We start from the raw sequence: 15,096 nt of genomic DNA on the forward strand, positions 1-15,096 counted from the left end.
GTAAAGAGAATAATTCCAAATACGTGTTTCCTGCCAGAACTCTCCCATAAACTTCCAAATTCCATATATATAAAATATAATCATATATACATAGAATTTCTGACTGTATGTCTCCTGTCAGTTTCTTTGTATCTCAAACTTATGTCCAAAAGATCCTGTATTATATAGAAAATCTGCTCTTCCTGCAGTCTTTCTGATAACAGTAAACAATTCACCCTCACCTTCCTAGCTGCACAGATTATAAAAACATGGAGGGCCGGGCGCGGTGGCTCACGCCTGTAATCCCAGCACTTTGGGAGGCCGAGGCGGGTGGATCATGAGGTCAGGAGATCGAGACCATCCTGGTTAACAAGGCGAAACCCCGTCTCTACTAAAAATACAAAAAATTAGCCGGGCGCGGTGGCGGGCGCCTGTAGTCCCAGCTACTCGGGAGGCTGAGGCAGGAGAATGGCGTGAACCCGGGAAGCGGAGCTTGCAGTGAGCCGAGATTGCGCCACTGCACTCCAGCCTGGGCGACAGAGCGAGACTCCATCTCAAAAAAAAAAAAAAAAAAAAAAACATGGAATCATTTATGACTATTCAATATATATATAACTTTCTCCTTTAGCTATTGCCCAATTTTCTTCATCAAATTTCTTTAAAAATATTATACTCCAATTTTCACATCCTCTTTGAACCCATTCAAAATATATTTGCAATATATACAATTATATATATCACATTCAATATTATATATATATATATTTATCTCACATTCAGTATGTTAACAAAATCTCCTGTCTCTACTTTCAAAATGCATGAAAATCCCAACCAGTTCTCACACATCTGTTGAAAACCTAGTTCAAGCCATCATTATCTTTTTACTGGATTATTATAATGGACCAGTTCCCTTGCTTTCACATGTGTTTCTATTTATCTGCCTTTAACACAACAGCTAGACTGATATTGTTAAAGGAGAGGTCAGATGATGCTATTCTCTACTCAAAATCCTCCATTCTATTCTTATCTCACTCCTAGTAAAAGCCTTAACATGGCCTATGATATATGGTACACTGTTTAGTCATTGTTCCTTATGCGCTGCAGATATGTGTTCATGTCTATAGCTATTTTTTTGTTCTCTCAGCAGCCTGGATTACTCCTCCCCAAATACCTGCATGGCTCAGTTCTGCACCATTTTAGGCTCTATTCCAATGCCAACTTCTCAATAAGTATGTCTTTTCTGGGCATGGTGGCTCATGCCTATAATCCCAGCACTTTGAGAGGCCAAGGCGGGTGGATCACGATGTCAAGAGATGGAGACCATCCCGGGCAACATGGTGAAACCCCATCTCTACTAAAAATACAAATATCAGCCAGGCGTGGTAGTGCACGCCTGTAGTCCCAGCTACTAGGGAGGCTGAGGCAGGAGAATTGCTTCAACCCAGGAGGCGGAGGTTGCGTGAGCCGAGATCGTGCAACTGCACTCAAGCCTAGGCGACATAGAGAGACTACGTCAATAAATAAATAAATAAATTAATTAATTAATTAATTAAATAATTTTTTATACTCTGCTTTGTGTTTCTTTATTGTGACTATTACCATCTAAAAACAGATTTTACTAATATTTTTGGAATATATAAACTGATTAGTGAAGTATCCTTGAGCTTTATGTCACAAGTGAACTTTGTGTTTTGTGTGAAGCATATATACATTTCACTTGCTTAGAAACAAAGTTGACTTTCTAAAACATTTTTTTCTAATGGTTTAAGTTGTACAGATTAAAGTAAAATAAAAGCTGTACTATCATAGTTGCCAAAAATATCTCCATATCCGATTAAAACCTAAGTTTGTGAAGAAAACTATTTTTTTCTTTTAATGTTTTGTTTACTGTTATATAGAATGTTTTCTGTCATCTACTAGACCATCAATATATTTTAGTGAGTGCCTGAGTGAATGTGTTTCTGGCACTGAAGCCTTCTTCCTAACCTCAAGCTACAAGAGAAGGGCTTCAAGGGGACACTGGAATATGCACCCCTTTTGTTGGGTAAAAAATCTAGACTATTTGACACCTTCTGAGGGACCTAAAAGTAAGAAGTTGTGCTTGTCAGATAAATTAGTGTGAAAGGTTTAAGCCCATTAGGCTCTAGCTACATTTCCATTGATGGCATGGGTTAATGAGAGTATGAGCATATTCTTTAAACCATAAGTGGGCTATAAAGAGATAAATCTTATTGAATATTTTAAATGTTGTCACCCCCACCAGTGGGGTTCAGGGAAAGAAGTTGCCAGCTAGAAAGCCAAGACCAAAGTGAACAAGATAAGCTGTTGAAAAAAAATTCATCAATATATGTTATGAAAAGAATGATCTAGTGTTTCCAGAGAAGACCTTGAAAAAACTCAGGAATGTGTTCTAAGGCAATGAGATCCAGTATATGTTATGAATGAATGATCTATTGTTTCCAGAGAAGGCCTTGAAAAAAACTCAGGAATATGTTCTAAGACAATGAGATCCAGCCCTTAATTTTTGCAATCTATCCATCTGACAAAGGGCTAATATACAGAATCTACAAGGAACTTAAACAAATTTACAAGAAAAACAAAACATCAAAAAGTGCGTGAAGGATATGAACAGATACTTCTCAAAAGAAGACATTTATGCGGCCAAAAAACATATGAAAAAAGCTCATAATCTCTGGTTATTAGATAAATGCAAGTCATAACCACAATGAGATATCGTCTCACTCCAGTTAGAATGGCGATCATTAAAAAGTCAGGAAACAACAGATGCTAGAGAGGATGTGGAGAAATAGGAACGAATGCTTTTATAATGTTGGAGTGTAAATTAGTTCAACCATTGTGGAAGACAGTGTGGCGATTCCTCAAGCATCTAGAATCAGAAATACCATTTGACCCAGCAATCCCATTACTGGGTATATACCCAAAGGATTATAAATCATTCTACTATAAAGAAACATGCACATGTATGTTTATCGCGACACTATTCACAATAGCAAAGACTTGGAACCAACCCAAATGCCCATCAATGATAGACTGGATAAAGAAAATGTGGCACATATACACCATGGAATATTATACAGCCATAAAAAGGATGAGTTTATGTCCTTTGCAGGAGCATGGATGAAGCTAGAAACCAAACACCACATGTCCTCACTCATAAGTGGAAGCTGAACAATGAGAACACATGGACACAGGGAGGGGAACATCACACACTGGTGCCTGTTGGGGGGTGGGGGGCTGGGAAGGGATAGCATTAGGAAAAAAATACCTAATGTAGATGACGGGTTGATGGGTGTGGCAAACCAGCATGGCACATGTATACTTGTGTAACAAACTTGCATGTTCTGCACATGTATCCCAGAACTTAAAGTACAATATATATTAAAAAAAAGAGAAAAAGATAGTAGCTAGTGAGTGAGCTAGGTAGGAGAGGAGTAAGACAAGGAGGAAGCCAATACCATTCTAGTCTCTGCTCAGATACCTTCTGCTAACAATCTCCTTCTCTCTGAAAGGCAGCCCCATGCCACAGAATTGCTAACTTTTCTTAAGCAGATTTAATGTTCATCTTTATAGACATTATTTTTTGGTCAGTCAAAGTACAAGTTTGTTGAATGTAGGTCCTTTGCCTGTTATATTGTACTCACTGCTGACTCTCACTACCTAGAAAAGTGCCTGGCATATAATTTGTTGAATGAAGTAACAAATGATGATTGTCTTCAAACACTGAATAGTCATCCGAAAGAATGTGGGTTGAACATGCCTGTGTGCACTCAAAAAAGGTAAGGAGTAGGAGTGTTCATGTGTAAAAATTTGTGTTATTAAGCTAGACATTATCCACTGTCAATGATATCCAAAGATTATTTTATTGGAATTATCTCTTATATCATGTATATAGTAAAGACAGAGAAAAATATGTTAACAAGCGGTATCTTTGATTTTTAAGAAATAAATATTTATATTGTAGAAATGCATTTTTTTAACTGATAGTAGTGCTCTACAAATATGGCAAACGAAACTATTATTAGACCAGAAGAGAATACTACAAGTTAGTATGCCGAGGCAGAGGGTAGTCTTAGGCTACGAAAATACACTGTGGTGACAATAAAAGAGATTGAACAAAATTTGCCAAGTGGAGCCCAGGCTCTTCCACTTCTACCTATGATTATGTCTAGCTGTAAAATTAGATTAAAATGTCTTTCAGTGAATATTTGAGAAGGTCAGCACAATGGGCTCTCCATAACCCTGTGAAAATGTTCTTCTTAAGCCTTAGTCTCCACTACCTCAAGATAGAGATCCTAAATCTGCTTCCTTATTCTAAAAGATGATGCTCCTCATCCAATAAAATCATGTGTACAAAAATCAATAAAATATTGGAAGGTAATATTTTAACACTTAAAAATACATTGTTCCCTGTGTAATTTCAAATACAGATTATCATTCAAGCAAATTGATCCTTTATATTAATTGCTAAACACAAAAAGAAAATTCATTGGCAATATGTAACAGTGACTAATAATATTTTATATAGTCAAATTTCAGAATGATCTCTTTTTAGTAATAGCAATTTCAAGAGTCAGACACAGTGTTAGACCTTATGTTAGGATCCTTCAGAGAAACAGAGCCAACAGAATGTGTATCTGTCTGTACACACACACAAACACACACACACAGGTTTTTTTTCTTGTACACACATATTTTCTTAAAGGGATTTATTTTATGAGAAATTGTATTATGGAGGTTAAGTCTAGACCCAAGAATATTGATGGTATACTTTTATTCTGAGTCCAAAGGCCTGAAAACCAGGGAGCTGATTATGTCCTCATCCAAGTTGAAGTCCAACTCTGAAGACAGAATAAGATCATTGGCCCAGCTCTAAGACAGACAGACAGAATGAGTGAATTTTCTCTTAGCCTTTTGTTCTGTTGGACCTTCAATGGATTGGATGAGCCTTAATCACATTAGGGAGCAAGGGCAATCTGCTTTACCCAGTATACAGATGCAAATGTTAATCTTTCCTTCAAACAACATATTAGACACTCTCGGGGTAATGTCTAACCAAATACCTGGGCACCCTGCAACACAATCAAATTGACACATAAAATTAACTATCACAGATATTAAAATTGAATCAGAGTTATAATCAATTTATAATTAAATAGCTAATTCATAATTAAACAGCTTTTATTATTTTCAGAATTCTTTAAAGGCAATTGTGATATTCTTAAAAACACTGAAAAGGCATTTTCCAAAACTTGATCCTTGCTTTAGTTTTTACATTGTGTAAGCTTATGTGCAATTTGAATGACATTTTGTACAGCTTTAACAACAGCAAAAAAAAAAAATTCACATATATTTTCTTCTGTTGTTCTCATTACTAAGAGAAAAATTATATGGTAATTGCACTTTCATAATACAAAAAGCCTTAAAAAGTAGTAGTTCTGACACTCAACAGCAGCTGAAAATTACTATCATATTATTTGCAACATGCTACTAAAATTGTAGCATTGCACATCGAAACTATGAGGAAATATCCATATTTAAACAAGTATTTAATCATTTACTAATAGTTTGTTTTGAAAATACATATAAATTGAGAGGTAGAAAAATGCTTTTATGCAAAGTTAAAATTAAAATTAAAGAATAGCATAAAATTTGTTTTCGAACTAGAACTTTTCTAGAATGATCAGCAATTATTCTGAAATTATTTCCATTAGGTAATCAAGTTATTACAAATGTCAGAGAAATAAATATTTCAATGAGTAGAAAGTATGTTTTCTTCCCCTTATAATACTTATTGATCTGAGGTTATATTTAGCCAGTTTCAATATTACAGAAACATTCCACCTTCGTTTATGATCAAAAAGTTCTACTAATGAAAGGAACAATGGAAAAGAATTCTTGGATGTCATTTAGTAACCACTGTCACTATCCACATTCAAACCATTAGCCATCTAGAAGTCCTCCAGAATTGATCTCCAAAATATATGCCAAATATGTTCTTGTTCTTTCCTCCATTTCTAATATAAGATTCTTAATCCATGACAAAATCTTCACTGGCCTCCACTGGTATAATAGCTTTCTAACTGTCTTCCTTGGTAACACTTTTTTTTTTTTTTGCCATACTTAGCTATTAATGAATAACAAATTACCCCAAAACTTGATGGCTAAAGAAATAATGATTTTTCCAAAGTTCATGAGTCAACAAAACAACTAGATGTTTCTGATGATCTTGACTAGGAGGGGATTTTATGGTCATGGGTTAGACTCTGTCACGTGTCTTTCAGGCAGCTCGCTGTTGGCTGATGTAGGATAACCTCAACTTAGACCGCAGGCTCTGATTCATGTGCCTTTTCATCCAGCAGGCTATCCTGCGCATCTTCTCAGGATGATTTCTGAGGTCCAAGTGAGAGACAGAACTATACAATGATTATACTGCTTAGACTCAGATCTGCGATGCTATCACTCTACTCCTATTCTATAAGCCAAAACTCATAAGGCCAAACCAGCTTAAAGGCATGGAGAAATAGAAATGATGAGAGTTGCTGCAAAGACACGTTGCAAAGAGTGTGGATAAACACAGGAGGTCATAAGGTGGAGTGCTGAGAGTGAAGAATTGGAGTCACATTTTCTGTAAATTGACCAAACATTCTAAAACATATTTTGTAAATAATATTCAGATTTATATTTCTAGAAGTTAAAACACTGGACTTCTCAAATCATTTAATGGCTTATTGTTATACTTATTTATATACCTACTTTTAATGGCTTATATAGAAACTATATTATACTTATTATAAGTGTAATATACTTAATATAATACTATACCTTAATTATTTTTCTCATTATATCTAGATAAATAATAAATTACTTAGCAATAAAATTGATTCTGAACTCCTTATTAAGACATAAAGTGCCATTTATCATATGCCTTCTGTCTTCTCTGATCCTTCTTCTAAATTACTCTTATCAGAGAGCTTTTCTGTTAGTTCATCAGCATATCCTTAGTTTGTCCATGAAAAGCCTAATATATAGTAAGCACTCATTGGATGTTTGCTAAATTAATGAATAGATTAATAATTTATGTAATAGTTATCAACATGCTGAGAAAACAAGCATGGTGAACGATCTTAGATATAAAGATACGGTTAGGTAATTTTTCTTCTGTGTTTTCCTGTTATTCTAGATACACATTATGAGGAAAGTTTTTGTTTGTTTGTTTGTTTGAGACAGGATCATGCTCTGTTGCCCAGGCAATGGTATGATCATGGCTCATGGCAGCTTCAACTTCCTGGGCTCAAGCAATCTGCCCATATCAGTGTCCGAAACAGGTGGGACCACAGATGTTTGCCAGCTTGCCTGGCTATTTTTCTTTTTTTTTAGTAGATACAGAATCTCACTATGTTGCCCAGGCTGCTCTCGAACACCTGGGCTCAAGTGATCCTTAATCCTCAGCCTCCCAAAGTGCTGGGATTACAGGTGTGAGCCACCATGCCCAGCCGGAAACATTTTAGAGTTTCATTTAATAGCACTCTCCTTCGTTAAATTCTGTCTCTTATGGTGTTATGATCTACATATAACCTGTTTGTCCTTAAACAAAAATTTAGACTGTTGGAAAATCTGATGCCTATTAGAGTAAGATTTCCTAGCACACAAACATTGGAATATGTCACATCAAGTTCCAAAACCTCCTTTTATCTCTATCAACATTATACTACATGCTACTCCAAATTTTAGACTTAGTTCAATAATGGATGGAAAACGTGAGAAACATTATTGAGTCAAATGACAAAATTGTATGACTGATGATAAATTAGATAAAATATTACTTCTAAATGTACTGAGTTTGATAACTGCTGTGTTAATTTCCCTTCTGTTAGCAAACACATATTTAACCTATTTAGAGATAAAGAGCCACAATGTTTTCAACTTCTCAGATTGTTCTAGAATTGTGTATTTGTGTGTGTGTGTGTGTGTGTGTGTGTGTGTGTGTTTGTGCAGAAAGAAAGAGCAATGTGGGGGGGAGAGGAAGAAAGAAGGAGGAAGGGAGAGAGGAGAGAAAGATTGAGAAGAGGAAAGGCATGGGAGCAATGATAAAGTACATGAATATATGGTAAGACAGTAATAAAGTAGGTAAAACTCCCATGCATTAATTGCTGCATTATTTCTCATAAATTTTCTGTACACTTATTTTTTTACAAAAAAATTACTATGTTATATACTTTAATAATAAACCTAGAAAACCTCTGTGCCACCGCACTTTGTTGTCCACCCTCCCTCAATATTGCGTGCTTCACACTAAAATTTTGCCTCCATGGCTTTTGCAGGTTGTTCACATATATTAGGAACTGATTAAAGAGTTGCTTATTATTTGAGCAGGACTTACTCTGGTTTTTCTTTTTTGTTGTTGTTGAGACAGAGTCTTGCTCTGTTGGCCAGGCTAGAGTGCATTGGCACGATCTCAGCTCACTGCAACCTCTGCCTCCCAGTTCAAATGATTCTCCTGCCTCAGCCTCCTGAGTAGCTGGGATTACAGGTGCCTGCCACCATGCCCAACTAATTTTTGTATGTCTAGTAGAGACGGGGTTTCACCATGTTGGCCAGGCTGGGTCTCGAACTCCTGACTTCATGTGATCCTCCCACCTTGGCCTCCCAAAGTGCTGGGATTACAGGCGTAAGCTACCATGCCTGGCCTGGTTTATATATATATATATAAATATATATGTATATATACATTTATTTATATTTATATATATAAATATATATGTATATATACATTTATTTATATATTTGTATATAAATATATATGTATATATACATTTATTTATATATTTGTATATAAATATATATGTATATATACATTTATTTATATATTTATATATATTTATATATTTTTATTTTTTATATTTATATATTTTATACTTTTTATATTTATAAAATATAAAATATAATTTTTTATTTTTTTATATTTTTAGATTTATATATTATATATTATATATTTATACATATACACAAATATATTTATATATATTTATATATACACACACTGAATATATATATATATATATATATATACACACACACACACACACACACACACACACACACACATATATTAACCAGGCCAGGCATATATATATACATATATATATTTTCCGTATATATACTGAATATATATACTGAATATATATACAGTATATATATACTGAATATATATAGCATATATACTGAATATATATACAGTATATATATACAGAATATATATAGCATATATACTGAATATATATTCAGTATATATACTGAATACATATATAGCATATATACTGAATATATATACTGAATATTTATAGCATATATACTGAATATATATACAGTATATATATATACTGAATATATATATACTGAATATATATACTGCATATATATACTGAATATACATATATACTGAATATATATGTACTGAATATATAGAGCATATATACTGAATATATATATATACTGAAAAAATATATATATATATATACTGAATATGATGGGAAGATCTAGGGTGTTTAAAAACTTAATACTAAAGAGGCAATTTACAGCCAGATACTATGGTACATAAGAACTTGGCATGCAAGTATTTGGAATTTGAATTTGAATATTTTCTTTTAGAACCTCCTCACATACCCAGTTGAGTGCATATATCTTTGTTATCTCTTTGCAACTGCCTGTGATACTTCTTCCTTTACTCCGAGAAAAAGTTTTTTAATGTAATTTAGTTTTACTCTGAATTTTCACTAGTCTTCTATGGGATATTTTTGTTTATTATTTGGGGCATATTCCCAGTGTGGCACAGCAGTGTGTATGTTTGGCCAGGTTGTAACCACAGACTTTCAGCTACTCATAGATACAGTGAGATCCCCGTAAAATAATGGAGTTTTAAATTGAGACATACTGCAAGACACCAAGCCATGTGGTGGTTTTGTTTATAGAATCTCAGTATCAGTATAAAAAGGTAAATATAAATGTTGGCATCTTTGAGGAGTGCTCACTAACGTTTTCAACTGTTCTTTTCAAATTCTTGCTCAAATTAAATATACACCAAGCATTTACATTTTGGATCCAAAACATAATAGCAATACCATGCTATAATACATGCCTATGAATCAAAGTCAATTCATGCATGTCAATTTTCATGATGGAGTAAAGCGTAGCTATGAACTATCAAGCTTTGAAGTCTTACCTGCTGTTGAGCATCAGACTTAATGCTCAGGATCCAGATCTAGCTTCTGTCCTGTTTTTGTTGGCGTTGTTTGCTTGTTTTCCTGACCACTTGTCTCAATGCAGTTGTCTTCTATAACCTCATTGTCTGTTGCCTGTCATCATATTTCTTCTTTTTATTTAGGTGTATCATTGTCAAGGAATTGCTTAACTTCCATCATATTAATATCCATTCTTTCCATCATAAGGTTTCTACTATTTACCCACTATATCCCAAATATACCTTAACAGAAGGAACTGTTGGAGAGCCCAGCTGTAAAGCAGGAAACCATATATTGCTGGCCAAGTTTTTTTCTATACGTTATTAGAGCTAACAGCATGACAAAAATGTCCTCTCTGAAAGACAATCAGACAGTAACACTTTGATCATCAACTGAGGAAACTGGAGCAGAGCAAGATAATGTACCCAGTTTTCAGGCCAAATCAAAATGATCTATAGCTGAGTCAATAATAGAATTTCTTATACGTAACATATGTGCCCAAGGCATCTTCTGACCCATAATAGAAGTTTGAGCTTAGTCTATGATTATTGCAATAAAGCTAGACATATGGTTTGTTAGAACCACAGAGTCCCAGTGCTTAGGAAGTGATTTTAGAAATTAGCCATTCTAATCAGTGTCTGAGATGCACAGATTTAAGGTATTTATCCTATACACTCAGCCATAGAACATTTCACTAAATAAGCCTAGATAAAAAATGAAATAGACACCTATCTGAATCTTAATGTAGTGTTAGTTTTATTTTTTCTAATGTTTCAGCATATAAGTGGATAATTAATATTAAAGTATAAACATAGAGAGTTTTCTCTGTAATCTTGAAACATTAGTAAGAAATTTTTAGGGAAACAAGCATAATTGACAGTATACTTTTAGTAGATCTTCTTTATAATATTGGTGCTTTGTACTTAGGATACATTTGATACACATTTATGATATTAAATTGAATTCAATATTTCAGTCCTGTAAATTGAATAATCAAAGGCTTTATTTTCCCAAATGCTAACTACTACTAATTGTTGAGATGCACAATTGCAATTATACAAGCATTGAAAACTAAAAGGTCTCTGGGACACATGTTCTGTAATTTGACTATATTTTTAAAACACAACGTAATATACAATCTGTAAGCAAATTGCCTCGGAGAAGTTCTAACACTGCGAAACTTTCTAAAAGATTATTAGAAGACAATCAACTTGGAAAGATGTTACACAGGTCTATTTGAAGTTCAATATTACTGTAACATATGTTAATTTTTCTTCAACTGTCTCTGAACATGAGTAAAACATCTTTGGACTCCAAAAAAAAATAACTAGGATATAAATAGAAAAGAAAAAAAATTGTGTTCTGCATGATGATTTCAAAATAATATTTTCTTTATTGAGAGTTGGATAATTCATAATAATATAATCATACCCTATTTTCTTATTGACTGGAATGCGACTCCTATTAGGATACACAGTAGATCAACATTTTGGTTATTGCGTTGGTCTGGGAGGAGGATTGTTGGCATTACCAGTGTTCATCAACACCTGGTGTGCCCCTCTTGCCAGGAAGCACAGAAGACTATGCTTCCTGGGCCTCTTGCACTTAGGTAGACCCCAGTTTTTGCTAAAGAACTTCACACAGAAATGATATGCATTACCTCCAGGCTGGGTAATATTTTGTCTGTTGTCTTTCATACTAAAGTGAGATGGAAATCACATCTTAGGATGATGGAGACATACAAAGAAAGATAACTAGATTCATGAGTCACTGCCAAGAAAGAAACTAACCAAAAGAGCCACCAGACTCCAGCAAACTTTTCTGGGCCAAAAAAATAGTCTTTTACTGTCTTAAATCATTGGAGTTACTGGAATTCAAAGTTACTGTAGAATAAAATCGTTAATCTTGCTAATAATGAGTCTTAAATCTAATTGATGGTATTTATGTAATAGAAAGCAGGCAATGAAATAAGGAAAATGTAAGAAATATAAGAAAATATTTTAAAGTTGAGAAATAAGATCTAGGTCCACAAAATCAAAAAGTGTCTGAAATAATAACAGACATATGTGTAGTTTTTCAGAAATGATAAGATAGGAAAATAAAAAGCATTATCTGACAAAACAATGTTGCTTATTCCATAGGCATGCTTTTTCATAGAAAAATGTGTGTAAATCTGCTGTTTCCTTATGTATATGGATCAGTTTGCTAGAGTAATTTCTAAAATTTCTTTAAAAGGCAGTGTCTTCAGTTTTTGAAAACACTCACCATAGATACATGTTTACTTAATTATTGATGAATATACATATTTCTGTTTTCTTATCTTGAGATGAAAATATTAATAGTTACCCCATTAGAAAATTGTTTTAATATTAAACAAACTGTTGTGTATATTGTTGACTGAGTTATTCTAATTTCAGACTCTGACAGAAAATTTAGCTTGCATGATATTTTAAGTACACGTAGGGTCAATCCCTGTGCAAAGGAGAAGAAAGCACAAATGGACTGAAGAAGTAGTTCAGCTGCAATGTAGGCCTGGAACAATTTCAACTGATCACTTGGGGGAACTCTGAAGGAAGAATGGCCTTTAAAGTTTCTTTTAGTAGGGCTGAAATGTCTGAACCTTTATATCCCACCACAATCTGTCATTGGATATAGCCTGCCAAGGAAGGAAAACAGTGGCTGGGACCATATATCCTTCATCTTCCACCAAAATATTTAAAATAATTAGAGCTGAGTATTTATACATACTTTCAAATTTTTATATTACAACAGCAAAATTTATATTCTCCATATTAATAATTACATTAAAAAACATACATGAAAATTAAACAAGAATTCTATAAAGATAAATTTTTCTTATTCTTTACTTCAAACATCCAAACCCCATAATTCTCACTATAAATGAGAAGTCTATAGTGAAGAAAGGAGACATTATAGCTGGTTTCTTCTCTATGCAATTCTATATTCCCCTGAACTCAATAGTTGCTTTTATAGTCCCTCTTGTGTTAGGGCCAGGAGGATAATATTTTGTAAGAAAAGATCATAAAAACATATGCATGGCTCAGTTACTTTAAATCTGGCTTCAGAATTATCTTAGTGAAATAAATCTAATGCTGACTCTGTTACCTATGAAGCATTTTGGTGCTCTTGGTTGATTCATTTCCTTGGGATATGTCTCATCTAGGTGGTCATTCCACGTATCAGTTTGTCTTACCCTTGCCTTCAGCAGTTTAATCCCATAGAGACTTTCTCTATGCAACAACTTTGCACCTTCAGGCAAGCCTTTGTGGCTAGATATCTTTAAATTTTATTCCACCACGATTAGTTTCCGAAGGTTTCCTTGGGCATTGGGAAAACACAAGCATCCTTACGCTGAAAACCCTGAAAAGACAGATCCCAATTCAGCTGTTCCTTTTGATTCTGATATGTCATCTCTAGCCAGCCAGCCACTTACCTTTGCCTCACTTGTCAGTTCTGAGGTTTCAGATTTCATGCCTAAAAAATATATCTCTAATTACAATGATTCTGAGCTGCCCTCTTTGTGCTGCAGTTGTAGGTTGTAAATTCCACCCACCCCACAAAATCATAATATGAAGAGGACTTTATTAATTTCTCACCTCCTCTATATTAATTTGGTAAAATCACTTTGGAAGTAGTGCAAAAACAGCTTAGTAATATATTAAAACTTGGAACAAAGCATCTTAGCTATTGGTCCTCAGCTATAACATCAAAGGAGGAAGGATTCTATTTAATATTCTGTGATAATTTTTTGTTTCGTTCCATTTGGTAGGTGATATTTAAAAGCCAGATGGTGTAAAATATTTGGTATGCCATTGTAACGTAGAAAACACACATCGTTTGGGAGAATCAGATATTCTTAACTCAAATGAATTTTATTAATGAGCAAATAATTACATTTAAGATGTATATAGACTTTGATGTAGTAATTCAATTTCTATGAATTTATCCTATAGGAGTATCCAAGCACATCTACACGGAACCTTCAAAACAGCATTTTATTCTGGTGTAAAAGGGGAAAGGGGAGAGATAATTTAATTGTTTCTCAGAATGGGAGCTTTGTTTACCTTAATATATCTAAATGAAATATTATTCTGTACACAAATTAATACATTAAATATCTATAATATTAAGAAGTCATTGTTAGTGGTAAAAGTTTTGGTGATCAAAAAATATAATGTATAATAAAATATTTCTTTATTAGTAAATATAGCTGCATATATATATATACAGCATGTATACGTATATATATTTATACGTACATGTATTTATATGTAAATGGGAATTTTCTGAGAAAGTCAACAAGGAATTTTTATATATATGCAGAATAATTTTTCTTTGTGATTGGAAAAGATAGTTTTTATGTTATATATTTTAGAAGTATTTTAACATACTTTAAGTAATATATAAGACTATGGTGAATTCTTAATACTTGTTCAACAATTTACAAAGTCATTAATGTAATAAAAATTGAGAAGAGTCTGTTCATGTCCTTCGCCCACTTTTTGATGGGGTTGTTTGTTTTTTTCTTGTAAATTTGTTTGCGTTCATTGTAGATTCTGGATACTAGCCCTTTGTCAGATGAGCAGGTTGCGAAAATTTTCTCCCATTTTGTAGGTTGTCTGTTCACTCTGATGGTAGTTTCTTTTGCTGTGCAGAAGCTCTTTATTTTAATTAGATCCCATTTGTCAATTTTGTCTTTTGTTGCCATTGCTTTTGGTGTTTTGGACATGAAGTCCTTGCCCATGCCTATGTCCTGAATGGTAATGCCTAGGTTTTCTTCTAGAGTTTTTATGGTTTTAGGTCTAACGTTTAAATCTTTAATCCATCTTGAATTGAT

This window comes from Homo sapiens, chromosome 5 (genome assembly GCF_000001405.40).
Source record: "Homo sapiens chromosome 5, GRCh38.p14 Primary Assembly".
Lineage (NCBI taxonomy): Eukaryota > Metazoa > Chordata > Mammalia > Primates > Hominidae > Homo > Homo sapiens.